Source organism: Homo sapiens, chromosome 2 (assembly GCF_000001405.40).
Source record: "Homo sapiens chromosome 2, GRCh38.p14 Primary Assembly".
In the NCBI taxonomy this organism is placed as follows: domain Eukaryota; kingdom Metazoa; phylum Chordata; class Mammalia; order Primates; family Hominidae; genus Homo; species Homo sapiens.
In genome coordinates, this window is record NC_000002.12 from 43,016,915 (window position 1) to 43,043,976 (window position 27,062).

General features: G+C 51.5%; 1 long non-coding RNA gene across 7 annotated transcripts, besides 6 other annotated features; it reads right to left on the minus strand.

Annotated features, from left to right (window-relative positions):
- Positions 9,273–10,089: an enhancer, noted in NCBI's record as "H3K4me1 hESC enhancer chr2:43253326-43254142 (GRCh37/hg19 assembly coordinates)". NCBI's record gives its function as "activates a minimal SCP1, AML or CMV promoter by ChIP-STARR-seq in primed H9 embryonic stem cells {active_cell/tissue: H9 hESC(primed)}" and the evidence as "EXISTENCE:reporter gene assay evidence [ECO:0000049][PMID:30033119]".
- Positions 10,090–10,905: an enhancer, noted in NCBI's record as "H3K4me1 hESC enhancer chr2:43254143-43254958 (GRCh37/hg19 assembly coordinates)". NCBI's record gives its function as "activates a minimal SCP1, AML or CMV promoter by ChIP-STARR-seq in primed H9 embryonic stem cells {active_cell/tissue: H9 hESC(primed)}" and the evidence as "EXISTENCE:reporter gene assay evidence [ECO:0000049][PMID:30033119]".
- On the minus strand, positions 10,939–22,642 carry LINC01819 (long intergenic non-protein coding RNA 1819). Of its 7 annotated transcripts, none has more exons than NR_110585.1 (6): positions 22,206–22,629; positions 19,782–19,851; positions 18,141–18,238; positions 14,221–14,387; positions 12,000–13,063; positions 10,939–11,271 (listed from the first exon to the last, which is right to left on the minus strand). It is a non-coding gene; the product is annotated as a long intergenic non-protein coding RNA 1819 (long non-coding RNA). The 7 variants fall into 7 exon arrangements; NR_175899.1 differs by lacking the exons at positions 10,939–11,271; positions 12,000–13,063; positions 14,221–14,387; positions 18,141–18,238 and adding exons at positions 14,883–15,722; positions 15,820–15,988; positions 16,316–16,612; positions 21,609–21,685 and having other exon boundaries at positions 22,206–22,642; NR_175903.1 differs by lacking the exons at positions 10,939–11,271; positions 12,000–13,063; positions 14,221–14,387; positions 18,141–18,238 and adding exons at positions 14,883–15,722; positions 15,820–15,988; positions 16,316–16,612 and having other exon boundaries at positions 22,206–22,642.
- Positions 24,089–25,031: an enhancer, noted in NCBI's record as "H3K27ac-H3K4me1 hESC enhancer chr2:43268142-43269084 (GRCh37/hg19 assembly coordinates)". NCBI's record gives its function as "activates a minimal SCP1, AML or CMV promoter by ChIP-STARR-seq in naive H9 embryonic stem cells {active_cell/tissue: H9 hESC(naive)}" and the evidence as "EXISTENCE:reporter gene assay evidence [ECO:0000049][PMID:30033119]".
- Positions 25,032–25,973: an enhancer, noted in NCBI's record as "H3K27ac-H3K4me1 hESC enhancer chr2:43269085-43270026 (GRCh37/hg19 assembly coordinates)". NCBI's record gives its function as "activates a minimal SCP1, AML or CMV promoter by ChIP-STARR-seq in naive and primed H9 embryonic stem cells {active_cell/tissue: H9 hESC(naive and primed)}" and the evidence as "EXISTENCE:reporter gene assay evidence [ECO:0000049][PMID:30033119]".
- Positions 25,036–25,330: an enhancer, noted in NCBI's record as "tiled region #14376; K562 Activating DNase unmatched - State 5:Enh". NCBI's record gives its function as "activates a minimal TATA promoter and a strong SV40 promoter by Sharpr-MPRA in K562 cells {active_cell/tissue: K562}" and the evidence as "EXISTENCE:reporter gene assay evidence [ECO:0000049][PMID:27701403]".
- Positions 25,974–26,915: an enhancer, noted in NCBI's record as "H3K27ac-H3K4me1 hESC enhancer chr2:43270027-43270968 (GRCh37/hg19 assembly coordinates)". NCBI's record gives its function as "activates a minimal SCP1, AML or CMV promoter by ChIP-STARR-seq in primed H9 embryonic stem cells {active_cell/tissue: H9 hESC(primed)}" and the evidence as "EXISTENCE:reporter gene assay evidence [ECO:0000049][PMID:30033119]".

The window sequence follows — 27,062 nt, forward strand, 5'->3', positions numbered from 1 at the left end:
CCTTTATAGCAATACAAAGGGACAAACACAGACAGGGTCTTGCTGTGTTGCCCAGGCTGGTCACAAACTCCTGACCTTAAGCAATCCTCCCACCTGGGCCTCCCAAAGTGATGGAATTGCAGGCGTGAGCCACTATATCCAACCTAATTTGTTATTTTTAAAGATGTAATAGGCACCTGCAAAACCACCACCCAAACAAAACTTCTGACAGTGACCCCCATTTCACCATATTGTTCCCCTTCCCCTACCCATCCCCTTGCCTCTCTCCACTCAAAGTGGTCATCATCCTGAATTCTGTGTACAAGGTGCAACCGTGCTTTCCTTTTTATATGGTTTTATTGCATCTCTCTATATTTTCTTTTTCTTTTTTTTTCTTTTTTTTCTTTTTTTCTGAGACGGAGTCTCGCTCTGTCGCCCAGGCTGGAGTGCAGTGGCATGATCTCGGCTCAGTGCAAGCTCCGCCTCCCGGGTTCACGCCATTCTCCTGCCTCAGCTTCCGAGTAGCTGGGACTACAGGCACCCACCACCAAGCCCGGATAACTTTTTTGCATTTTTAATAGAGACAGGGTTTCACCGTGTTGGCCAGGATGGTCTCGATCTCCTGACCTCGTGATCTGCCCACCCCGGCCTCCCAAAGTGCTAGGATTACAGGCGTGAACCACAGCGCCCAGCCCGCATCTCTCTATATTTTCAAAAATTATAGACATATTTTTATATTAGCTGTCTTTACCTTCATTAAAAGGGTATCATTCTCTACATAACCTTTTGGGACTTAAGTTTTTGGCTTAATTGTATCTTGCTAAGATTCATCGACATTGTTTCAGTTGCTGTGGCTCATGTGCTTAGCCTGCTTAGGATATTCTGTTGTGTGAATATTGCCATTGATTCATTCATGAGCCATGGAATCTTAGTGGGAAAGGAGAGAAGTAAAGGCAGGAGGGGTTGATGGATGGAGAAGGAGTGAAGGTACCAACGGACTGGAGAGCTCCATGAGGACAGAGAGCTGTGGCAGGGCACCCAGGCCAGGAAGCAAATGGGCTTGGGGGTGATATATAGTCGAAGGAGAGAATTTCTGATTTCAGAAGGAGTGAGGCTTTCTGGTGACTGTAAAGTTTTCAGGGATAAACGAATAGCTAAGGCCAGAATTCTTTGAGATGAGGGTGAAGGAAGCCAGAGGTCAGAGTGCGGACATAGGTCCCTCCATTTTTCTAGGATACTGGCAGGAGGTGGAGTGGAGAAGAGGAGGTTGGAGCTGGAGTTTCCAGTGCATGGGAGCTGGGAGCTGACAGGGAGAGGAGGGAGGGCAACATAGCAGGAGGCAGGAGTGTCAGTGGCGCAGGGTTTTATAAGAGGTTGGGAGTAATGTGCTGGAAATGACAATGAGGAATAATAAGGCCAAAACTCCACATCTTTTAGCCCTGAGGTGCAGAGAATGTGAGATTAAACAGCCTCCACTTGGAGGTGGTGGTTCAAGGCCTGGAGGAGGAGGCAACATTCCAAAAAGAGCTTGAAGATACAGGGGAGTGTGCTGACCGTGGCGCAAGAGCTCCAGCATGCATTGTGCAAGAGCAGAGGGGAGGGGCAGAGCCGATGGGGCAAGCAGCACATCAGGACTCAGCTTCGGCAGAGAAGGAAGTCAGTCGGGCTGTCCTGGGAGGGGAGGTGACCCCAGGTCTCATGGGTGGTCAGTCTTGGCTACACCTCACAAGCTACAAGTGGCTGCATGTTTTCACAGTGGCATGGGTGTGGAGGGGTCAGCTGTCAGCATCTCGCCCCCATGCTATCATGTCACCAGCCCCATTTGTCCCTCGGGCTTAATGTACCCCACTGGAGAGAGAATCAAAAAGTCACTGCTCCTTCCTTGGCTACAATGCTGGTGTCAGGGGAAACCAGTGTGGAGAATTGTTTTGGTTAGCGGTGGGGACAAAGGCCTAGCCTGGAAACCGAACACTGTCTTCCTGCTGGCTCAGGTGGGGCTTGTGGGCTCCTGTGGCCCTGGGACTCCCTGGGACTTCTGACTCCGGTCTGAGGATAGAGGCACCATTTTGGCTCTTAGGGAGCCCCCAACTAAGGGAGGAGGCTTGAAGGAAAGAAGAAGGGGTGAAGCCAGCCACTTGGGAGCCAAGGAAGGCTCTAAGAGAAACGTGGGCCTGCTTGCCATTGTTCTTCAACACAATCAGCACAGAAAGAAAGGAAGAGCCCAGCCCAGCCTCAGCCTGTTTTTGTGGTCCTGAGGCAACGTTTCCTTCTGGATTTTCCCAATTGGGCTCCACTCAATTATGCTTCTTTAATTATGAAAGCTTGGAATGAGGGTGGGGCATTGTTAGACACAGAACCATTCGATGACTTTCTGTGCCCCGTCTCTTACACTGGCCTATAGCACGTCACAGATACTGCCTCTCCCCAATCTCAGGAGCCCAGGACCTATCACACTAGTGTTCTTTTGCCCTCTGGCCCTTTCTTTTTCTAATTATATATTTTAAAAACTGTTTTAAAAATAACAGAGACGAGGTCTCCCTATGTTGCCCAGGCTAGTCTCGAACTCCTGGGCTAAAGGGATCCTCCTGACTGGGTCTCCCAAAGTGCTAGGATTACAGACATGAGCCACCACACCTGGCCCTCTGGCCCTTTCTTTTTCCTCCCTTAGGCCACAGAGGATCTGGGTGGGATCCTAGGGCTGGAACATTCCCAGGTACCAGGAGAAGAGCAGTTCTTCCTGAATGTTCCATTGCTCAGCTCTCGGTAACTGGGCCTCTAGTTCCCTGTCTCAGGGGGAGACGGGCTGTTTGCTGCGCTAGCCCTTACGTTAATGCGAGGAGCACCACTCCCATACTCAGTGGAGGAGGGAGCGATACCTTCACATTTCTCCATGGCTCCAGCACTCAGGACCCCCAGCAGATGAGAGGGCCATGACCTCCACTCCATAGCAGCTCCTGAGCTGAAGCAAAGGCTGCTCTAACCCGTATGCAAAATCCTTTGAACATACCAGTGGCATGGAGTCAGGATAGAGGGGGAAAAATGAAATTAACTTCTCAGGTTAGGGTGAGCAGATCTGGCCCTGTTAGGTGTCTTGCCACACTCTCAGCAGAGGGGAGGCTGGCCACAGGCAGAATTTTTCTGGATTTGGATGCAGGGAACAAAATTAGTCCTCACACAAGAGATAGAGTTTCAGCCCACAGCAATGTGTACCAAGAGAAGGTCCCAAGATGTATTAATTAGGATATAGACTTGGCTGATATAACAGAGATCCAAAATAAGAGTGGCTCAAACAAGATCGCTGTTTCTTTCCTCTTGTGCAACAGTCCAGGCATAGACAGTTTGGGATCAAAATAGTATCAGGCACTTGTACTTCTTCTAACTCACTTACTGATGTGCCATCCCTCTGGTCCTGCCCTCACCCATAGGATCCAAGATGACACTCCATCACATAGGCTTCTAGCCTGCACGAAGTTGGGGAGAGAGGGCCCCAGAAGCAGGTTCTCTCCTTTTAAGGACACCATCTGGAAGTCACAGACAATGCTTTTGCTCATATCCCATTGGCCAGAACTGTTAGACATGTAGCTATACTTAGCTGCAAGGGAGCCTGGAAAATGTAGTTTTTATTCCAGTAAACACCTTTTGGTCTATGAGAGAAAAGGGAAAATTGTTCTGGGGGCCAACTAGCAGTTCTGCCACATGAGACCCCAAGTACACAGCAAGAAGGTTCTTGGATTTGTCTGCCATGTGCCCCACTCCCCCTGGCCACAGGGGCAGGCAAGGGACTCAATCTGGGAAAATGACCTCTGACCACAGCAATTGCCCAGAACTGGACACATGATTCAAGTGGATCCAATCAGGGTTCTTCCTCAGGCCTTTTGCTTTTCTTTTCTTTTTTTCAAAAAAGTTGAAGGCTGGGCATGGTGGTTCACACCTGTGATCCCAGCACTTTGGGAGGCCAAGACGGTGGATCACCTGAGGTCAGGAGTTTGAGACCAGTCTGGCCAACGTGGCAAAACCCCATCTCCACAAAAAATACAAAAATTAGCCGGGTGTGGTGGTGCACCTATAATCCCAGCTACTCGGGAGGCTGAGGTGGGAGAATCGCTGGAACGTGGGAGCCAGGGGTTGCAGTGAGCCGAGATTGAGATTGCACCACTGCACTCCAGCCTGGACGACAGAGCAACACTCCATCTCAAAAAAAAAAAAAAAAAAAGTTGAGACAGGGTCTTGCTCTGTTGCCCAGGCTGGAGTGCAGTGGCATGATCATGGCTCACTGCAACCTTGAACTGGGCTCAAGCAATCCTCCCACCTCAGCCTCTGGAGTAGATGGGACTACAGGCACGCACGACCACATCCGGCTAACTTAAAAAAAAAAAAAATTCATAGAGACGGGGTCTCACTATGTTGCCCAGGACGGTCTCAAACTCCCCTCAGGACTTTTTCTAAGCAAGCCTGGTAGCAGACAGTACAATTTCCTTTCTGGTCATGAGACTGTGAGGATGTAATGCTGAACCGACCACAGGCATTATTCCTGCAGGGGAAGGAGGGTGCACAAAGCCCATTTGCGGAAGAAAGGGTGTTGCTCACCTCTGAGAGACAGAGAGAGAAGAGACAGGAGGTGATAGTCTGGTGGGTGAGTAGGCCTCATTCTGGCCTCTTCAGGGCCTGCTCTGTCTTTGCCCTGCTTGAGCCAATAGTCAACATCCCCCTCTCACCAAGCTGATTCAAGTCAAGTTTGAGCCATTCGCAACCCTTAGTACTGCAAGCCGCGTTTTTTTTTTTTTTTTTTTTTTTTTTTTTTTTATCCCTGGGGAAATGAGTGAATGGCTGGGGGACACAGCTGAGATGGAAAATCTGGAAGGAAAGTGCTCCAACCACGCCGTCTCTCTCCCCTGCACATGTGCCCTGTGGCACCTCAAAGTTCCCTTCACCGCGGAGGCTGCTGGGTTTCTCCGCATTTTCCCATCCAGCCCCGCCGCCGCCTGCCATCCAGCCCTCCTCCCAGGCTTGCTGCAGCCGGCCCAGCTGCGAGGGGGCCCGAGGACGGCACTGCACAAAGGCCCCATTCTCAGCTGGCGGGGGCTGTTATCAGCCCAGCCTAAACTGTGAATCACCTGCATCTGTGGGCAGCCCTGTGGGTGGGGCTGCTTGATTTCCCCTCTGGGCCTCCCTTGGCCAGAACCTGTGAGTGGGGGCGGACTCTCAATAAAGGTTCATTGTTTTCCATCCCCTCTGCTATCGGGTTCTGTGACTGCCTTCCCGAGCCCCTTCCTCTGCTCCTCATTCAGCCTCTTCTCCCTGGACCCTGGCCCTCTGAGCACCATTCCACACCCCACCTCACCTTGATTATCAGCAGAATCCCTTCAGGAGAGCCCAGGTGGTGACCCGGGAAAGCAGGAGAAGGGCATTGGCTGGCTTTGCCTCCAGGGCAGTCAGAATGAAGGCGGATCTGAACCGCTGGCTGGCTCCCCAACTTACTTGAGGTCCCCCACTGACTGCAGACAGCAACCAAGCTGTCCTGGGCCTGTGGTGTCACCTGGTGGTCAGCCTTGGAACTTGTCTGGGAGGTTGGGGGGGGGGGGGGCGGTCACACATGTTCCGTAATCTCTCTATTCTTCCCTGTTTTTTGTTTTTGTTTTAAACTGTAATGGGTTCAGTTCTGCTCATTCTTCCTCAGGCCATCTTTAAAACAGAAATTCCAAATCCCAGAGCCTACTTCGGTCATCTCCCTTTCTTCCGACCTTACCCCAATTACCTCAAGAGGTCCTTTTCCCACTGTATGTTCAGTCTACCCAGCCAACGTGCTGACTGAGACAGGGCAGGCCCACCCCCAAGTCAAGAAAAAGGCAGACTGAAAGTCAGAGAGATAACTAGAATGATGAAGAATAGAAGTTTTCGACTTCAAAAGCCCTTGAAAACTTTCCTTCAGAATGCCACACCCATCTGCCCATCCTCCTGTTAAGAACCCTGCTTTCCTTCAAGCATCAGTTTTCAAGAGAAAATAGGTTGACTTTTCCAGATCCGCATTGTGATTTTTCCATTTCTACTACAGGTCTTGCAACAGTAGGGTTTTCTGTCCTTCCCGTGTAGCTGAATGGCAGCCCAGCTTTGAGATGGGTTTAATGGGCATTTATTATGCCCCAACCTGGAAAACTGAGCCCCATTCATAACCCTGAGTTCTCGACTTTCTATTGGCTCATTGTGTGAAATGCCAAACCACTTCATAGAAACATTTTGAAATCTAACCCATTGGAAAGTCGGGACAGCCTGACGAAGATATTTAAAGGAAAGGTCATGAGATGCTTTCTGAGCAGGATGGTGGCTGCTGCTTCTTGTTCCTGTTGCCATTTCAAACAGGCTAGTATATGAGAACTATCTGATTTCCCCAAAATGGAAATCCTGATCCTTGAAGAAGTCTTGAGGCTTCCGAAATGGGTTGTGCCAGTGGCCTAAGGTTGGGGGAACGAGGTGTGGAGTGATGAGTTAAGTAGCGATGTGAGCACAGAGACTAGGCAGAGAGGATGTGAGGAGGCCGGGTTGAGTGGAGGATCTGGAGAGAGTTTTAGTGCCAAGACTGGAGACAGACCCAACTGACTTCTACCTGACAAGAAGGGCCCAGTGGAAACACATGGAGACTCCAGGCAGGTGAATAATTTCATATCCTACCAAAGCCATATTCTTTTACTATGTTCCACTTTAGTGTAGCAGAAACTGATCTGTGCTTGGAGGAATGAGGGAGTAGACAGAGAAGAGGGTCCCCGTTACCAAGTAGGCAGAGAAGAGGGTCCCTGTTAGCAACACTCCATCTCCTCTGAGCGGTTCAGCTCTCACCCCAATGAGACAAAAACTCTGCAGAGACCTTCCCCACCTTCCTTAGAGACTGACTGCTATTATACTAGCCTGCTCTTTTGGGGGTATCCCTAATCACCCTATTGCAAACCACTCATTAAAACATGCAACTGTCCCATAGAGGAGTTGCAGATATGGTTTTCTTGGTCTCCTTTTATTTCCAGTGATGTTGGAGTGCCTCCGAAAGATGGCACCCTGGGAAGCTTCTGGGTGCTGGGCACTGAGCATGTTATCTCATTTCATCTCCCTGCCAGGGCACTATCATAAGCTCCATTCCACCTGGTGCAACTGAGGCTGAGGGCAGTTAGGTTAGCTGCCCAAGAGGTTAAGAGCTGCTGAGAGCTGTTGAGAGCTGCCATCCTACCTTGGAGCTGAGATCTGAATTCAGCTTCATCCATCTTAGTCTGAAGATCTTCACTTCCTCCCCTTCCTGCAGGACAAAATGGAAAGAAAAAGCCCTTGAGAACAGGAGGGTAGGACCTATGAGGGGCCATAGGGGGTGGAGGTTCGAACAGGGAGCTACGAGCCCACTCAGATATCCAGTGGGCAGCAGGGAGGAAGACTGCCTGCCCAGGACGGCCACAAAACAGCCCTGGGGGGGTGAGGGGGGTGTGAGGAGCCAGCATGGGAAAGTGAAGGAGCCTTGTTCTGTAGAGGGAAACCCCCTCCTCCGCAGCAGAAACACTAGAAGTGTCCACTGATAGAACAGGGTGGGCCTGGGTCAGCAAAAAGCCCAAGAGAGATCTTTGCAGGAGAAATCTCTCCTTCGGTGCTGGAATTGGAGAGTGAATAAAGTCCTTTGGGCCAGGTGGAGTCAGCAGTGCCGAAAGCCTGGGAGGTGGCCCTGGTTGGTCCCTCTTTTCCCATCTCCCCTCCTTCAGCTCCAGAGCCAAGGAGGGGCTGGCCGTCCGTTCCTGGCCTCACCAGCAGAGGTCTCCAGAGCAGGGAGCAGAGGGCTTGGGGTGGGGGAGGGAATGGAAGGATGCCCTGCACCTTCCGCCCTGCTCACAGATGTCCAGGGGTCCACTGCATGGGTGGTCTTGACTCATGCATAGGTGTGTCTGTATTTGTGTGCATCCGTGTGGGGGTATGTAAGTGCGGGAAGTGGGTGTATGTGCATTTATGGGTGTGTAGGTGTCTGTGGGTGCATGCATGTTTGTAAGTGTGCTGGGTGGTGTCTCTGCGTGTATGTTTGCCCATTCCATCTTCGCACATGTTGGCACTGCTTGTGGCCCTGCGTATATCTGTGTGCAAGTGAGTCCTGCATCATTTGTGCATAGTTGTCTATGCTTGGGCTTGTAAGGAGAGAGGAGAAAAATAAGTGACCTGGGGAAGGGGATGCTTTGACATCTCAACATTCTAGGAGGCAGGGATGTGGGGTCGTCTGTACTGTCCCATGTCCACACACACTGACCCAACCTGGCCACCTCCTGCCCCTTCCTTAGCACAGACCCTGAATTTGTTTGTTAAAACCTCATTTACAGCAGGTGTTGCTGACAACCAGTTCCCAGGAAGCAAGGCCTTCCAGAGCGCTCTCTCGCTCGCTCTCGCGCTCTCTCTCTCTCTCTCTCTCTCTCTCTCTCTCTCTCTCTCCCTCTCCCTCTCTCTCTGTAGCTGGTAAACATTATTCTCATTGTTGCGGGGGGCAGTGGAGCCACAGAGTATGGTGGGAGGCAGAGAGCTGCAGTGGGGGAACCACATGCCCATGGCTGACTCACCCATGGGTGAGCAAAGGCAGTGGCCATGAGGGAAAGTGCAAGGAAAAGCCCTGGACAAGGCCTAGCTCTGCTCCTGGCCTGAGGCCCTGCACTGGAGCTCAGTCAGTGCTGGGGGGCAGGCAGAAGGGAGGCCCCTTACCCATGTCACGCTGAAAATCCTTGCCGCAGGGAGTAGGGCAGAGTCTGGAGCCTACCACATGATGGGAAGGTGTGTTTACTTCCCACTGCTGCTGTAACAAATCGCCACCAACTTAGCGGCTTAAAGCAACACAAATTTATACAGCTCTGGAGGCCAGAAGGGCAAAATCAGCATCTTTGGGCTAAAAACAAGGTGTTGGCAGGGCTGCTCTCCTTCTGGAGGATCTAGGGGAGAACCCATTTCCTTGCCTTTCCCACTTCTAGAGGCCACCTGCATTCCTTGGCTTGGGGCCCCTGCCTCCATCTTCAAAGTCAGCTGAGCCTGGGCAGTATAGTGAGACCCCATCTCTACAAAAATTTTAAAAATTAGCCAGTGTGGTGGTACACGCCTGTAGTTCCAGCTACTCAGGAAGCTAAAGTGGGAGGATCACTTGAGCCCAGGAGGCAGAGGTTGCAGTGAACCGAGATCACACCACTGCACTCCAGCCTTGGCAACAGTGCCAGTCCCTGTTTCTAAACAAAAACAAACAAATGAAATCAGCTGCACGTGATATCTTCAAGTCTCCCTTCTGTCTGCTCGCACATGCCTTTTCACTGCCTTTGACCTTCCTGCCTCCCTCTTATGTGGACCCTTGTGATGATGTTGGGCCTTCCCAGATAATCCATGATAATCTCCCCATCTTAAGACCCTTAACAGAATTACATCTACAAGTCCCTTTTGCCTTTGAGGTGACATTCACAGGTTCTAGGGATTAGGATGTGGACATCTTCAGGGGGCCATTATTCTAACAAAGAGGACAATCACAGACAGACTGGCAAAAAGGGGTGACATTCCTATTCCCCCCATGGTTTCACCCATTGAGGACCCGCATTCCTGCTGAAGAGCCCGCTGGCCCTGGAGGGCTTTCCCCTGTGCTTTCCCTCATGGCCACTGCCTTTCTCCCCGACACGGGTGAGCCAGCCATGGGCATGCATTTCCCCCACTGCAGCTCTCTACCTGCCTCCCACAATACTGGCCCTGGAGTGAGCAGCTCTTGGCACCAGGAACTAGGGCTCACTGGCTGGGTAAAGGGTCATTGTCCTCGCTTCCTACCCTCCCAGCAGCCCGTGGCCAGGCACCAGCTATGACCCCAGCTCACACCAAGCCCTTGAGCCCCTAAACCCCTGAGCCTCCCTCATCCCCACCCAACCGGCTCCACATCTAGCCCCCGCCAGACCTCAGGCTTGTGTCCACTCTCCCTGAACGCTCCTCTCTGGCTCTCCCTCAGTCCCCTTACCCCTCTGGATTCCCGTCCTGTCACGGCCCCCACTCCTGGCCCCAGAGGCTGTCTGTCTCTTCCTGACTGTGGGGCTCCACCCTGCTGGCTTCAGGCCCCCCAGCCCTCTCCACATGTGCGAAAACCACATGCATGGGCTCTCTTCGGCTCGCCACAGAAAGCCCAACAGCAGGACCCAGAGTGAGGAGGATCACGCACGTTAGCCCAGCCGGGCCAGTGCTGGGGGGCCTGAGGGCACTGCCAGCCCCCCAGATGCCTTACAAAGCCAAACTCCCATCGTGGTCAGCCTCACATCTGGGATAAGGCTGGAAATTCCAATGGCTCTCGGCTGCTAAGAAATGTGTTGAATCTTCCCAGAGATTTGGTGGAAGTGGGAAGCATTGTGTGGTAGGGGTGGGGCCACTCCCGCCATAGGACTCCCAGAGCTCTGGGGAAGTCCAGATGGCACAATGTGTCCACAGTGGCTGTGTTGGTTCCCCCCACCCCCTCTGCCTAGCTCCCCGCCCGCTGAAGATGAAAGGTGCCCAGGGCCAGGGTGCAGCTCATTTCTCGCTGGCACCCACAAGTCTGTCTACTGGTGTGCATGTGAAACTCTGACGTTTCTGATAGAGACTTGAGTTATTTTTTCCTGGAGAGAAAAATGTTGACATGACTTTGGAGGATTGTCTGCCTAGAAAATCCCCAATGCACGAAGAAGACAAGTTCCTCCCCTTCTCACACACGCACCCCTGCGCACTCACGCACATTCCCTGGAGGCCCTGGTCTGTGGGCCTCCTTGGGGCCTCACCTCCGCCTCTAGCCCACGTCCATCCCGTGTGCGACAGGATTCCATAGAGCTGGGGCCTGCAGGGTCCCGGAGCAGGATCGGCCGCTGGCTAGTTCTGCGTCTCTAGGTGGAACCTATACTTATTAGGTTTCTGCAGCTGCTGTAGCAAATCGCTACTAACCAAGGGCCTTAAACAACACACGTTTATTCTCTTACAATTCTGGAGGCCAGCAGCCCTTAAATCAGTCTCAATGGGCTAATGTCAAGGTGTCGGCAGAGCTGGTTCCTTCTGGAGGCTCCAGGGGAGAATCCACTTCCTTGCCTTTTTCAGTGTCTAGTGGCCACCTCTATTTCTCAGCTTGTGGTCCCTTCCTCCATCTTCAAAGAGCATCACTCTAATTTCGGATTCCTTCATCGTGTCACCTTCTTCTCTGATTCTGACTCCTTCTGCATCCCTCTTCCAAGGACACTGAGATTAGGTTGGGCACACCTGGGTTATCCCCATCTGGAGATCCTTGATTGCACGCGCTAAGTCCCTGTTGCCCTGTTAAGAGAACATATTCACAGGCTCTGGGGATAAGGATGTGAACGTGTTTGGGGGCCATTGTTCAACCTTCCATAGCCAGTGTCCCTCTCAGGGCCTCAAGCTTCAAGGGACAGTCTCCCTGGGCCTCTTCCAGCTCTGATGCTAAAACAAGAGTCTCTTGCCTTATCGGACGTCTGGTCAAATGGGCACGGCCCCTCCCCTCTCTACTCAGTGCTGAGTCCTGGGACTCGTCAGAATGGAGGTCCTCTCTACCCTGCAAGCAGCCCCAGGAGTCTGATGCCCTGATCTGGGGCCCTCAGCCCTCAGCCCGTGCTGAAGGAGATCCTCCATCTGTGAAGAGTTAACCCCAGCCCAACTTAGTTTAGGATCTTAATTTCAACCTTCCCTAAGGCAGAGTCCTCCTCTGCCCACCTGTGATGTGGGGAGAAGAATCCTAGACCCTACGCAAGGCTGCTGGGTAGGGAGTGGAGATCTCTGAATGGGAGAGGCAGGGCTATGAAACTCACTCCTAACAATAATCCACGTTGGCTTAAACTCCCAGAGCTCAGGCCACCCAGGCACAGCCTGGCCTCCCCAGCAGTGTGCTGGGCTCTGGTCCCTGAAGTGCCCAAGAGCCCTTTGGAAGCCATGTGAGGCTGTTTACTATGGCAGAAGGGCTTCCTAGGGCAGATGGTACTGTGCTTTATGCCCAGAAACAGTAAAATGCTGAGTCTACCTACACATACCTATGGGAAGATGCAGCCACAGTTTGGTTCATGTTTTTCCACTGCTTAACATTTTTTCACTCTTCTCTCCTGGATAGCTCTCAGGCATCACCTCCTCCAGAAAGTCTTCCTTGAAGTCTGCGGAAACTAAATTCCCTCCTTGATGCTCCCTAAATCCCACAGACAGGTTCATTGTGTCCAGGTGAGGAACGGATTTTGTCCTCTAGACAAGAGAAAGCCACTCACTGCCTTGGAGGTGCTGAGAGTAGGAGAAGAGCAGTGTCTGCTGAGATGGTGCTGGGCTCTGCCAAGCCTGCCCTCCCGGAGGACCCTCACCCCACCTCACCTCTCCCGCAACAGGAGGACCCAAGGCCAGGAGGGAAGACTTTATGATCTTGAAGAGTCAAAGCTTCTTGTCCCTGGGAGTAGGTCAAATCGCCTTCTCTTATCACCCAGATGTTGCTGCCAAACTGCTACAGGACCCAGACCTAGGTGGGTGGCCACCTCACCCCCAGAGTGAGGTACCAGGTACCAGTGGGTCTACCCTGTATGCCAGACTGAAGGTCAGGACAAAGCTGGAACCAGCTGTGTGCAGCTGGAGGTAGGGCAAGTGTGCCTAGCTCTCTGGAATCTTTGCTTTCTCTGGTCAGATTATCCCAGCAGGGCTCCAGATCTCACCAGAACCCTTTAGTGGCTCCCTCTGCATTTCCTCTATCCACTGCTCACCAAAATAACCTTTCCTTGCAGAGGAAGGCAATAATAGCGTTTCAAGGATTTCCCATTGCACTAAGGACAAAGGTAAAAATTCTTGCTATAAAACTCTGATGGCTGGCGGGGCATGGTGGCTCACACCTGTAATCCCAGCACTTTGGGAGGCTGAGGTGGGTGGATCACTTGAGGTCAGGAGTTCGAGACCGGCCTGGGCTACATGGAGAAATCCCGCCTCTGCTAAAAATATAAAAATTAGCCGGGCATGGTGGCGGGTGCTTGTAATCCCAGCTACTCGGGAGGCTGAGGCGGGAGAATTGCTTGAAACCAGGAGGTGGAAGTTGCAGTGAGCCGAGATCGCGCTGCTGCACTCCAGCCTGAGGGACAGAAAAACAAACAAACAAACAAACAAACACAAGACCCTGATGGTCTGACCTTGGCCATCTTCAATATCAGTTGCTGCTCCTGAGCCCCTCCTGCCAGCTCAGTCCCTGCAGCCACACTGGCCCTCATTGGGTTCCCTGGTGTCCATCCTCCCCACCTCAGGGCCTTTGCAACTCCTGCTCCCTTCGCCCAAAACACTGTCCCCACTCCCACCTTACCTCCAGTTTCCATATGGCTCTTATTCATCCTTCGGGTCTCAGGTTAAATGTTTCTAATGCCTCTGTCTAAATTAGAACTCCCCCCAATCCCATTCTTAAACTATCCTATTATTTTTCTTCCTAGCACTGACCACAATTGTAATCGATTCATGGTGTTTTCTATCTTTCTCCCCTACGAGGCTATAAACTCCGTAGAGGTAGGGCCCTCTCTGAATTCCTAGTATTTTAGTCCAGGGTCTGCGGTTATCAATAGTGCCTAATGCATAATTGCTGATTATCCATGAAGGGTCACCCCACTGAACGCCTACCATGTACCAGAAACTCCTGGGTGCTGGAAGGAGCCAAAGAGGCAAGAAGCCACAGCTCATCAGCCTTGCAGGGCAGATGTGTCAGCAAGGGCCACGTGCTGGAGTGGCGGGGGGGGTGCCAGGGCAGTCAGGTGATCAGACTCTGCTTTTTAAGAGTGGATGGACCCCCAGAGACCACCCAATCTAGTCCATCTAAAAGGGTGTTGGGGCCCCTTTCAGAGCTCTGGGTGGTGGCACTGGAACCAGAAGCCCTCTCTCCTGGTTGTAGCTCATGCCCTTTCCATGAACCCCCTGCCTTGATGATGGCCATGTCTCAGCCACCTCTGTGTCCCCAGCTACACAGTGACTGATGTGAGGGGAGTGAGCAGGGGGCAGCTGAAGCCCTGAGACAGAGAGAGCCCACCAGAGAAGTGTCCAGAAGGCAGCTTGTGCTGGCATGACAGTTGGGTCATGTGCTGGCCTGACTCCGGAGCTGGGGCCAGGTTTTCTCATGATCCCTTCCACGGCAGAGGAGTCAAGAGAAAGATCTGGGCCTGAGTCCTGGCTCTGCCTCTTATTAGCTGTGTGTGTGGCCACTTTGAGCTCCCATTTTCTCACCAGCAAAATGGAAACAATTGGGCACACCTCATAGGTTTGTTTTGAAGACTCAACACGATGATGTATGAGGAGTCTACAGTTCTGCAGCTGGCCCCCGGCGCTCTGTAATGAATGGTGGCTGCAGGCGCAAGTTTTCATCATCCCAGCCCCCTCGCCCTTCCATCTTCTCACTCCTGTTCTATGGGCTCAACCGTCTGGAATCAGGAAAGCAATCTGATTAGTCAGATTTCGCACTGATTCCAGCCCAAGCCTACCCAAAGAGATTCTGATTGATTCCGTCTAGGATGAGTTCTAAAACTCTTTATTTTTATTAATCTTTTTTTTTTTTTTTTTGAGACAAGAGTCTCGCACTGTCACCCAGGCTGGAGTGCAGTGCAGTGGCGCTATCTCGACTCACTGCCACCTTTGCCTCCCAAGTTCAAGCAATTCTCCTGCCTCTGCCTCCGAGTAGCTGGGGTTACAGGTATGCACCACCACACCCAGCTAATTTTTGTATTTTTAGTAGAGACAGCATTTCCCCATGTTGGCCAGGCTGGTCTCGAATTCTTGACCTCAAGTGATCTGCCCGCCTGGGCCTCCCAAAGTGCTAGGATTACAGGCGTGAGCCACTGCACCCGGCCATAATCTTTATTTTTTAACAAACATCCTGGGTGATCCTGATGTTTAGCCAAGTTTGGGAGCCACTGGAATAAGTGATGATGAAATTTTATTTTAATAAAAGCCAACTTGTGCCCTTGAAAATAGGGGTTTGCCTCTTCCCATGGTCCCTGGAACCAACCACAGCAAGTAGGGCCCCCTCACTCCCCATGGGGAGGGTGGCATTCCTTCACAGCAGCTCTAATGGACGGAGTAGGGGTGGCACCAGCTGTGTCCCCTCCTGCAGCTGTTTCAATGCCATGGCCCAGTGGAAATCACTGCGAAAGTCATTCTCCACATCTCCCAAAGCTGGACCAGGTGGCAACTGGCTGGAGGAGCTGATCCCACCAGACAAGAGGCCTCTGTGAGCCAAGGAAATACACCCACCCACCTCCACTCAGCACAGGGCTCCCCCAGATCCTGCCTTCCTCAGCCAACAACTGCCTTTTGTCCCAAATCAGTTCATCCCCCTTGACTGGGAGATGTCTTTGCTCTGCATCAGGAACAGCTCTTGCTTCTCTGCACGCTCACTCAGGGCTGTTGGCTTTGGGAGGTGGTCAGGGCTGGATTCCATCTCGGCCCAGGGACACCCCCGGGCCTGGAACAGAGCTGCTCTGGGAAAACACGGGTGGAGGGGGATAGGGAAGCTGTGCATTGCGGCCTCTGCAGACTCCACTCCTCCCTGAGAATGACAGTGGGTGGGGCTTTCCCTGCCTCAGGTAATTCAGCTTTTTATGAGCTGCAGGGAGACGCAAAGCAGGGATTTGGCCCAGGAAGAGAGGAAAGGCACTGAATGAGAGAACAGTCCTTCGCCAAGGACACAGGACTGTTGACGTGGGAGAGATGGGCGCAGCCTCTGGACCTGCGCCACGACGAGGAGGAAATGGTTTTCACTGAAAAACAAAGTTGAAAAACAGTTTACTGAAGGGAAGAGAAAGAGGAAAGGAAAAAAAAAAAAACCACCTCAAACTGTCTGATCATCAAAATCACCTGGGCAGCTTGTTAAAAATACAGATTCCAAAACTCATTCCAAGTCAATAAAATATTATTCTTGGTAGCTCTGGGCTTCTTTTCCTTGTGGTTAAAAAATGCAGGTTCCAACTCAGCCAGCTGGAAGACCCTTGGGCGAGTCGGTGTCTGGGTTGAGGGGAAGCAAGACCTATGGAGTCAACACAACAGATTATGTTTCTAGTTTTCTAGTTGGATTTGGGGGAGAAAGGAGGGAAGGAGACACAACAGGCTCAGGAAAAAACTCCTAAAAGCCACTTCCCTCCAGGCAGGACGGTCTTCCACTGGCTGAGCCTGTCCAATCCGTGTCTCCTTTCTCGGGCCAGTCTCCTGGTGAATCCTCACTCTCCCGTTTCCTCCTCTTCTCCCCTCCCACCATGGGGCCCTTGTCACCCGTGGAAGTCTGAGTGATGCCCCCACAGATGTTCATGTCTTTAGGCCCAGAATCTGTCCATGACACCTCGTATAGGGCTTTCACCTGTGATTAGATTAAGCCTCTTGAGACGGGGACATTATCCTGCGTGATCTGGGTGGACCTCATGGAATCACAAGGGTCCTTCTGAAAGGGATGTAGGAGTCAGGCAGAAGGTGACCTGATGGAGGAGCAGATTGGAGTGGTGCTCTTTGAAGATGGAGGAAGGAGCCACAAGCCGAGAAACTGAGCCAGAAAAGGCAAGAAAACAGATTCTTTTCTGGAGCCTCCAGAAGGAACCAGCCCGACTGACACCTTCACGTTAGCCCAGCGAGACTGATTTTGGGCTTCTGGCCTCCAGAACTGTAAGAGAATAATGTGTGTTGTTTAAGCCCCTCAGTTTGAAGTGGTTTGTTACCATGACAGCCGCAGGAATCAAATGCCCCCGACCTCTATCCTGTCCACTTTACCAGCCCGGCCCCTGCCAGGGTCTCCCGGGACCAAATGCTTGCCGGCCCTGGGCCCTCCTTAGAGCCTGTCTCTCTTGGCCTCCCATCAATATGTGATATTTTCTCCGTTGGTCGTTCTTAAATCTTGTGACAGCCCACTCCACTGGTGTTCCTCATGCCTTGATGCTCCTCCTTAGCCCCCTTCCAGCACTTTCCAGCCCCACCTCTTACCCCACCTTCAACATGGCCATGTGGCCCAGGGTCCTCTTCTGAACCCTCTTCTCACTCTCTGCTTTCTCTACTTCCCAGTGATAATCCCAGATCAAGGCCATGGGTCCACACCCTAATAACGATGGGTCCCTTATGCTCTTCTCAGCAAACAGGTATTAATATATTCCCTGCCTGTTGAAATCCAATTCACCTGTTCATCCCTCAATGCCCCACTCAAATGTCACCTCCTCCAGGAAGCCTCCCCTATCTGTCATGCCATATGCTTGTTAACAGTGTCCATCCGTCGACCCCATGGGATTGTGTGCCTAATTTATAAATTGAACTTAGAAGCTAGGATCTACAATATTTTGAGACATAGAGAGAAAAACTATGCTCACATAACTTTCATTGCAGCATATTGTTATAATTGATCTATTTTATTATTGTTGTTGTTCATCTCTTACTGTGCCGAATTTATAAAATCAACTTAGAAGCAGAGTCATGACCTAGTCAGCCCTGGACTCTCAGCACCCGGCACAGTGGAACCCAGCTCTGGGACATGCTCTCCCTCCTCACTGCCATAAACACCTGAGCAGGTGTTGGAGCTGTGGAAGCTGCCCTCTGCCATTCTGCTGCCTTCTGGCCTAGGCCAGGCTGTCACAGTGGGGTTCACTTCCCTTAAAGAATCATAAGAATAGATGTCAAGTTTCCATTCTGGCCACACTGGCCTCCTGACTCCTACTCCAACAGGCCATCCCCTGATGTCCCACCTGGGACATGAATCATTCCTCTCTCCAGCGTATCCATGCTGTGGCTGCCACCCACCTGCGTGTCCCTTAGGGGCCATCTGTCAAGGTATCATGGTGCTTGTGTTCAAGTAACCCTTGTTTTACCTTGTAATGGCCCCAAAGCACAAGAGTAGCAATGCTGGAAATTTGGATGTGCCAAAGAGAAGCCGTGAAGTGCTTCCTTTAAATTAAAAGGTGGAAGTTCTTGACTTAATAAGGAAAGAAAAAAAGTGTATATTGTGCCAAACAATGAGATACTATGCAGCCATTAAAAATTGTATTTTCAGGCTGGGCATTGTGGCTCACACCTGCAATCCCAGCAATTTGGGAGGTCAAGGTGGGCAGATCGCTGGAACTCAGGAGTTCAAGACCAGCATGGGCTACAGGGAGAAACCCCCGTCTCTACAGAAAACACAAAAATTAGCCATGCACGGTGGTGCACACCTGTGGTCCCAGCTACTTGTGGGGCTGAGGCTGGAGGATCACTTGACCCTGGGAGGTCGAGGTTGCAGTGAACCACGATTGCCCTGCTGCACGCCGGCCTGGGTGACAAAGTGAGAGACCCTGTCTCAAAAAATATACATAAATAAATCAAATAAAATTGTATTTTCAAAGACTATTTTAATGACCCAGGAAAATTCTTATGATATAATTTATATGGAAAAAAAAATCAAGATTTTAGATCTCAGATCTTAGCTCAGGTAGCTAGGATCTACAATATAACATTTTGAGACACATGGAGAAAGACCATACTCACATTACTTTTCTTGCAGCATATTGTTATAATTGATCTATTTTATTATTGTTGTTAATCTTTTACTGTGCCTAATTTATAAATTAAACTTTATCATAGGTATGTATGTATAGGAAAAAACATAGTGTATACAGGGTTCAATACTAACTACAATTTCAGACACCCACTGCGGGGCTTGGGCCATGTCCCCTGAAGATAAGAGGGGACTACGGTAACACAATTTATCAAAAACACATTGCTCCCAGACACCAAGAACTTTGCAGGGATTCACATCCTTTTACTTCATAATCCCACTTCTAGGACTTTATCCTAAAGAAATAATCAGAGGCTGGGCACGGTGGCTCACGCCTGTAATCCCAGCACTTTGGGAGGCTGAGGCGGGCAGATCACCTGAGGTCGGGAGTTCAAGACCACCCTGACCAACATGGAGAAACCCCGTCTCTACCAAAAATACAAAATTAGCTGGGTGTGGTGGCACATGCCTGTAATCCCAGCTACTCGAGAGGCTGAGGCAGGAGAATCACTTGAACCCAGGAGGCAGAGGTTGTGGTGAGCCGAGATCATGCCATTGCACTCCAGCCTGGGCAACAAGAGCGAAACTCCATCCCCCCCGCCCAAAAAAAAAGAGAGAAAGAAATAATCAGAGATGTATGCAAAGATGTATGTGTAAGAATGTTTATTAAATTATTATTTAAAATAATGAACAATTTTGAAACAGTTCACATGCCTAACACTAGGAAATTGGCTTAGTAACCACTGTACCGTACAATAGGATACTATGCAGCCATTTTACATCGTATTTTCAAAGAATATTTTAATGACCCAAGAAAATTCTTATGATGTAATTGATATGGAAAAAGATCAGGATTTTATATATACTATGTGTGTATGCACATGGTATTACCTCAGTTTCATTTAAATGTGTATGTGTATAGCAATAATGGTTATCTCCATTTAGTGTGATTATTATGGAGTATTTTCATTTTATTTCTTATACTTTTTCAGATTTTCCATATTTTTTACAATTAGCCTATATTTAGATTACAGTTTTTAATGCTATTAGTTTATTTTAATGGGGAAATAATTCATTGATTACTTGTCTGTTTTTCACTGAGGCAGGTGGAGTGGTGTGAAGGAAAGCTTGGGGCTGCCAAGCCAATGTATCTGCTCTTGGAGCCTGGGAGCTTCTTGGGTCCTGAGAGGCCTTTTATGTGTGTGAGGTGCCAGTTCTCTGAAATGAGTGCTGTGGCTTGGGGGTGCGCTGGAATATTTTTTATCAGGAGCCTGGACCAAGGGCTAGATCACTCTCCATATGTCATGGTGGGTCCTACCTGAAAGGGGAGGTCGTTTTCAAGATCAGGTACCTGAGGAAGAAGCGGGTCTTCAAAATAGAAGGTGAACCTGAAAAGAAGGTGATAAAAATTATGATGGGACAAAGGACTTGGTGGGGTCTCTGTCCCCTCATAAACCTCCACATAGGATGGACAGGAGTTGGGAGCCTCCAGAGGGTAACTGGTTAAGGTAGGACTAGGACACCCCTGCCTTGGGAAGCTGGATTGGGTTTACAGTTCTTCTGGGCACCATGTTTACGTCCTGTTGCCTTCCCTTCAGTGCCCTTATTAGTGCCATCTGGTCTGATCTTCCCAGGTTTCTTAGCTGTGCTTGTTAAAAGAAGCGAAAGACTGGGTTTCGGCCAGGTGTGGTGGCTCGCGCCTGTAATCCCAGCACTTTGGGAAGCCAAGATGGGCAGGTCACTTGAAGCCAGGAGTTCAAGACCAGCCTGGCCAACCCAGTAAAAATACAAAAAATTAGCCTGGTGTCGTGGCACATACCTGTAATCCCAGCTACTCAGGAGGCTGAAGCATAAGAATTGTTTGAACCTGGGAGGTGGAGATTGCAGTGAGCCGAGATCACGCCACTGTACTCCAGCCTGGGTGACAGAGTGAGACTCGGTCTCAAACAACCACCAAGGCTGGGTTTCTAGCTATGTTTGGCCCACAGAATTAAAAAAGTGGTGGCATCCCTGGGGCCCAGCCAGAAAGAAGCCGTGGGAATGAAGAAAAGTGACCCAAAGAGGAGAGTGCACAGAGGGAGGTGGAGTGAGGGCTGACTGAGCCAGCTGTCTCTCCTACCCAGGAATTCTTCCTGAGCTAAATCTCGGAGATTCTGGTTTGTAAAGTAATAGCTCTCCTTATATTTGTCTATTGTGTAAGTGCATGATTATGCTAAAAAAATTAAAAATTCAAATAAGGAAAACCAAAATAAAAACAAAGAAAAAGAAGCAATCTAAAATTACCCCTTAGCTCACCACTCGTCAATGTTTTATTGTATATCCTTCCAACGTTTTTCATAAATCAATGCTTTATTATTTATTTATTTATTTTTTTGAGACGGAGTTTCACTATTGCCCAGGCTGGAGTGCAATGGTGCAATCTCGGCTCACTGCAACCTCCGCCTCCCGGGTTCAAGCAACTATCCTGCCTTAGCCTCCTGAGTAGCTGGGATTACAGGCATGTGCCACCACGCCTGGCTAATTTTGTATTTTTCAGTAGAGATGAGGTTTCTCCATATTGGTCAGGCTGGTCTCGAATTCCCTACCTCAGGTGATCTGCCTGCCTCGGCCTCCGAAAGTACTGGGATTACAGGCATGAGCCACTGCGCCCAGCCCAATCAATGATTTAAAAATCAGATTATTTTATATACATCTCAGCTTTGTATTATTCTGTTCGTTATGCTATCTGCTTATTTCTATGTCATTAGATGCTCTTCTACATCATTTTTAAAGGCTCAATTGTGTTTTGTTTTCTGGATGTTTCACAATGTATTTAACCCATGCCCCATTTTTGGACATTTAGGTTGCTTCCGGTTTTTCAGGCTTAGAAGTCACAGTGAAGGACAACTTTGTGGCTAAATCTTTGAATGACCACCTATGTATATTCCCTGGAATAAGTCCCAGAAATAGACTCCCTGAAAGAAAGGACACTAGGGTTCGTTTCCATCCCTGGGCAGATCCCGAGGAAGGCTGGGTTGTTCTGGAGGTCTTGGCGCTGGGCCCTGCACTCCAAGCTTCAGGGCCTCCCAGACCCTTAGTGCACGTTCCACTACACTAAATCACCCCGCCCCTCCTCTCCCCACTCTGCCCCAGGCTTTGGACTCACCCAGGAGAATGAATTACACCTCCCAGCCGGACGTGAGGCCATTTGTCTTGTGCTCTGGAATCCTGATTAGATAAAATCTGAACAGAGCACATTTACTTATTTAGTGTATTTCTGGGTGGGTGGGTCCTAGCCCTTGGGGATCACCTTCTCCAGATCAGGGTGAAGAGTTTACAGAAGGGAGGAGCAGGTCACATATCCAGAGCAACCAGCTCAGGCATTCACCCTGCGGGGTCACAGGAACCCCACCGTCCCCAGCTCAGGCCCACTCCACTCCAGCTCCAATCTCCCCAGTCCTGCCTCCCCGCCTCCAGCTCAGGAAGCTTTAGGCGTTGGTTGCTCATCATATGGCTGAGGCTGGCAGAAAGAAGGACTAGGTGCCCAGTGATGTGGCCACATCGCACCTCTGGCGGGAAGTGGACTCTCTCCGACCCCCCTTGGGGGCTCTGGTGGCCTCTGCGGGACCTCGGGTTGTCTGAGCACACGCACCCTCGCCCTCTCTGGGACCTGATGCCTCGATTTAGGCTCAGACCCTGTAAATGCCCCTTGAGAGCCCTCAAGGATCCAGGGTTCTCTTGTCCTCAAAGAAGCAGAACATACCTGCTCACCAGCCTGCAGCTTGTCCTGTGTGTCCCGTCTCCTCAAGTACGGAGAGGCCAGGGCTTCCTGAATCTCATCAGATCCGAATCTCCCCAGATCTCATCAGGGCCTCTTCCCAGGAGACACCAACTCTCAAGGTCTGGAGACACACCTGGAACCTGTATTTTCCCAAATGGTCCTCCTGGCTCTTCCCACAGAACTGTCTTCTTGTCCCTGGTCTCCACTGATGGGGAACAAGGCATGTGACCCCCTGGGTCGGGCAGGCCCAAGGCAGGCGAGGCAGTGAGAAGCAGGCGAGGGGATAGGGCTGCTTGCTCAGGTAACTTGGGTTCAGGAGGTTTGGCAGCCGAGCTGCCTCTCCTGGCAGCGGGGCTTGGCCAAGGGCAATGTGCAGCCACACAAAGCCATCCTCACAAAGCCACCCTCACAGCCTCTCTGGCCGAGAGTCCCTGGGCGCTCACTTGCCGGGATGCACAGGCACGCCTCTGGCCAGGCCGGGCTGCGGGGGTTTGTGGCCTGGAGAATCAAAGAGCCGCCCTCAGCTCGGAGAACACTTCCTCTAGAAGGCTCTGGTAACAGCACACCGGGTCTGAGGAGAAAGAGCCTCTGTGGGCCACGGTGGGTCTTTGCCCACAGAGGCTCACACACCACCCCTCCTGTTCCAACACCACCCCCTGCCCGGCCCCAGTTCTCCTACCAGCCCAGGGGACTCAGGTGGGCCAGACCTTTTCACACTGCCCCTCCCACACACACCACAGCAAGAGGGTGAGCCTCCCTCTTTCTCTGCCGGGGTCTCTGGGGCCTCCCACGACGGGGGTGGGTGGTGCCATAAGCCCTGGGTGCCTGTGGGCGGTGGTCCCACGGATGCCCTGCTCAGTTCCAGACATAGTTGTTATTTGGACTTTTCACATCAAAGTAATTAATTAAATATGCAATAGAATACATTCTCTTCCTCAGTCAGTGGCAACCCCATCCCTTCATTCACTGAGGCCGAAACCTTGGATAGCCGTCCTGGAGTTTTTCAGACCCATGTCCAAACCACTGGAGCATCTTGTCAGCAGGATTCCAACTTCTTCCAGAGCCCACCCGCCTCTCACCACCTCTCTGTCATTTCCCACCTGGATGATTACAACAGTCCCTGTCGAGGCCCTGGCCCCACCACGCCACCAGTGGGGAGAATGCTTCCTCTAGAAGGCTCTGGTGGATTTGGGTGATGAGGGGGAGAGGGGTAGTCCCGGGCCAAGCCACACCAGTGACCCCACGTGTGTTCAGAACCCTCCTGTCTACATTTGATTTCATCTTGGCTACTCTTGTCAAGACATGCAGTTTGTTAGTCTTGAGCAAGTAAGAGTCCTTATTTGTATGCCCTCACATGTTATCACAAATCCCCCAGATTCTTTTTCAGATCTCATGCCCTAATTTGGGGTTTATGAAATCTACCATGCTGATAGGGATTCCTGTCTGTCATGGGGACTTTGAGCCATGACTCAGAACAAGACACTTATCAATCTGGGGCCTCTCCGAAGATGCTGAGACCAGGGCCAGTCTCAGCTGCAACGCCCTGCTTGGAAGCCACTATGGGATGATTCTGCAACAGATATCATGATGCAACAGATGCCCATGAATGACATGGGAAAGCTGGGCCCCATCGCCCAGGGGGACACTCCTGCTGTGCTCTGTCAGCAGGAGGGAGCCTCCTAGGAACTTCATCAGGACCCATTCTTTCTCTTTTTCTTTTCTTTTTTTTTTTTTTTTTTTGTGAGACGGAGTCTCACTCTGTCACCCAGGCTGGAGTGCAGTGGCTCAATCTTGGCTTACTGCAACGTCCGCCTCCTGGGTTCAAGCGATTCTTTTGACTCAGCCTCCTGAGTAGCTGGGATTACAGGCATGCACTGCCATGCCTGGCTAATTTTTGTATTTTTAGTAGAGACAAGGTTTCACCATGTCGGCCAGGCTGGTCTCAAACTCCTGACTTCAAGTTGTCCTCCCACCTTGGCCTCCCAAAGTGCTGGGATTACAGGCGTGAACCACTGCGCTTGGCCAGGACCCATCTTTGTGTGGGATCCCTGGCTCAGTGCTAGGACAGAAACAGGTTTTCCTTGGACTCTGTGGTGTGTGCTTGAGTGTATGTGGGTGAGTGTGTGTGTGATAACGCACCCTGCCCTGCCTTTCCCTCCCCACTCCTCCAACCTGGAGGTGACAGTCACAGGGCCCAGCCCCTCCCTGCCACCTTCCTGCCCCAGCCCCATCTCCATTCAGGGGCAAGTCCTGCTGTGGTGCTTAGAGTGCAGCTCTTTCAGGCTTTCCTTTCGCTTAGCCTTGATTTCCAGGCCACCATGATCAGACTGGGCTCCCAGGCAGCATCGGAGCATCCCCAAATCCAGGGCTGGGAGGAGCCAGGCCATCTTGTCCAAGTAAGGACTTGAAGTTCAGAGAGGAGAAGGCACCAAGCTTGTGTCACCCGCAGGTCCATGCAGAAGGGAGATTAGAACCCAGATCTGCTTTTCAGCCCAGGCCAGGCCTGCTACAAAAGGGCGGGAGGGGGCACCCAGGCTGAGGTGCTGGAATTAGCAGTTCTCTTTACCCTCAAATTAGCCCTGAGGCTGGCCCAAGCCCCTCCCTGCCAGCGTGCCCCTCTGTCTTCAGGAGCCCCCAGTGCCTGCCAGGGGCTTCTCCCCTTTTGCCAGCTTGCATCCATCCCCCACGGTTCCGTCTCTTGGCTGCTGCTTTTACAGGCTCCAAGCAGTGGGGAGGCTGATGGGGAGAGGGGGTCTGTGTTGGACTCAGCCAGACTTACTTCCAGCCAGTCCTCTTGCCCTCCCCTCCACAGACTGCCTAGAGACCAGGGAGCTCTCCCAACCCCACCCCTCGCCCCACTGCCACAGCTCTGACTCAGCCCATAAATTACCTAGGAATGGTCCGCTGACTCAGCCAGGAAGCCCAGAGCCCCCTTCCCCACCCTCAGGCCTCAACCCCACAGCTGGCTTTCATTCCAGAGTACTTGGCCCCCTCCCCTCAGGAAATTCCTGGAAAATATCAGGCTTCTTGGAGGGGAGATCTAACCACAGCCCCGGCAGGGAGCAAAGCCGCTGCAGCCTCATCCATCATTCTGCCCCTGCCCCTCCTCCAGCAGCTTGTGTGTTGCATGGGACTGAGCATGGAAGTGTCAGACCCCATAAAGTGATGGGTGCATGGCTCTGAGGGGAACTCCGGGGAGGGAGGAGAGAGGTGAGGCTGGCATGGGGTAGGGCAGTCAGGGCAGGCTGCTGGGAGGTGGAGGACTTTGTTTTGGGCCAGAAACGATGATAAAAACTGCTAAGTGCAGAAATGGAAAGCGTGCTTCAGGCCCAGGGGATGGCATAAGAAAAGGCTAGAGGTAGAAACCAACCGGTGTGTAGGGGGATGGGGAGGAAATTTGAGAATAAGCAGGGCTAGGCCAGTCGCGGTGGCTCATGCTTGTAATCCCAGCACTTTGGGAGGCCGAGGCAGGTGGATCACCTGAGGTCAGGAGTTCGAGACCAGCCTGGCCTACATGGCAAAACCCTGTCTCTTCTAAAAATACAAAAATTAGCCGGGCGTGGTGGCACACGCTTGTAATCCCAGCTGCTTGGGAGGCTGAGGCAGGAGAATTGCTTGAACCGGGGAAGCGGAGGTTGCAGTGAGCCGAGATTGTGCCACTGCACTCCAGCCTGGGTGACACAGCAAGACTCTGTCTAAAAACAAAACAAAACAAACAAACAAACAAAAAACAAAAACAGAATAAGGTCTAGAGGAGTGGCCGGACCGGAGAACCTGGGCTGATCAGGCCAGAGGGCCGGGGCCGGGGCCAGGCTGTGGAATTTGCAGGAAGTCTCCAAAGCAAAGGCCCAAGAGACTCTGGGAGACCTGGGAGCAAAGGAGAGCGTTTGGGGGCGGGGAGATGAATCTTGGACTAAAAGAACCTTGGCCAAGGAACACTGGTCCCTGCAACATCCTTGGACCACCTTGGGATCCCAGTGCCTGCTTCGACCTGAGGGGTGGGGCGGGGCATCTGATCATCACACTCCAGTCGGGGCAGAGGCAGGGCTCCGACTCTCAAGCAGCTCAGACTGAGGGACATGGCTGTGGCCTCAAAGAGCCCCCATTCTGAGGTGGGAACACAGCCCCTTCCTCAGGGAGCCCCCAGTTAAAGGGAGACACAGAACTCCCAGGCCCTTCCTGCCCCCCAGGCCTTAGTGTCCCCTCAAATCCGTTCCTCAGAAACCCCATTGGCTTTTGAGGGAAAGCCAAGTCCAATTCTCTGATAAAACTTTTCTTTTTTGGCTGCTTCCCCTCAGACAATACAAACTTATAAATGTACAAAAATTCCTGGCCAACCTCCCCCAGGAAGGATGGCTGGGTGATGGGCTGTGGCCTCAGTAATGGAGTCACCGAGAAGGGAAGCTGGCTGAGCAAAGGTACGGCCAGGGTAGGGGGGCTGTCCCTCCTGCCATCCATGGCAGAGGGGTGGACACCAAGCCAGGGTACTGTGGGGAAAGGTCTGCTGCGTCTCCAGCGTTTACCTACCCTTCCTGGGAACAGCAATTCTGCCATGGCCTGGCAGGAGTCAGGGAGGGGTGTGATGGATTCAGAGAGAAAGGTAGGGGCGCAGCCAGTCCGACGAAATGAAAGCAGAGAAAGAGGTGGAGAGGAGGAGGACACGGAGCAGAAACTCCTTGAAAGCAAGGTTTCCTCGTGGATTCTAGGCCCAGAAGCCAGGGAAGCTTCTTCATAAATGGGCGTCCCCAGGAAGGCCTCCTCATTCCCAGACTGGAGCTTTTGAGGCTCTAGTGTCTGTCAAAGCCCTCAAAACATTATATCGACATTCCCAGGTTACAT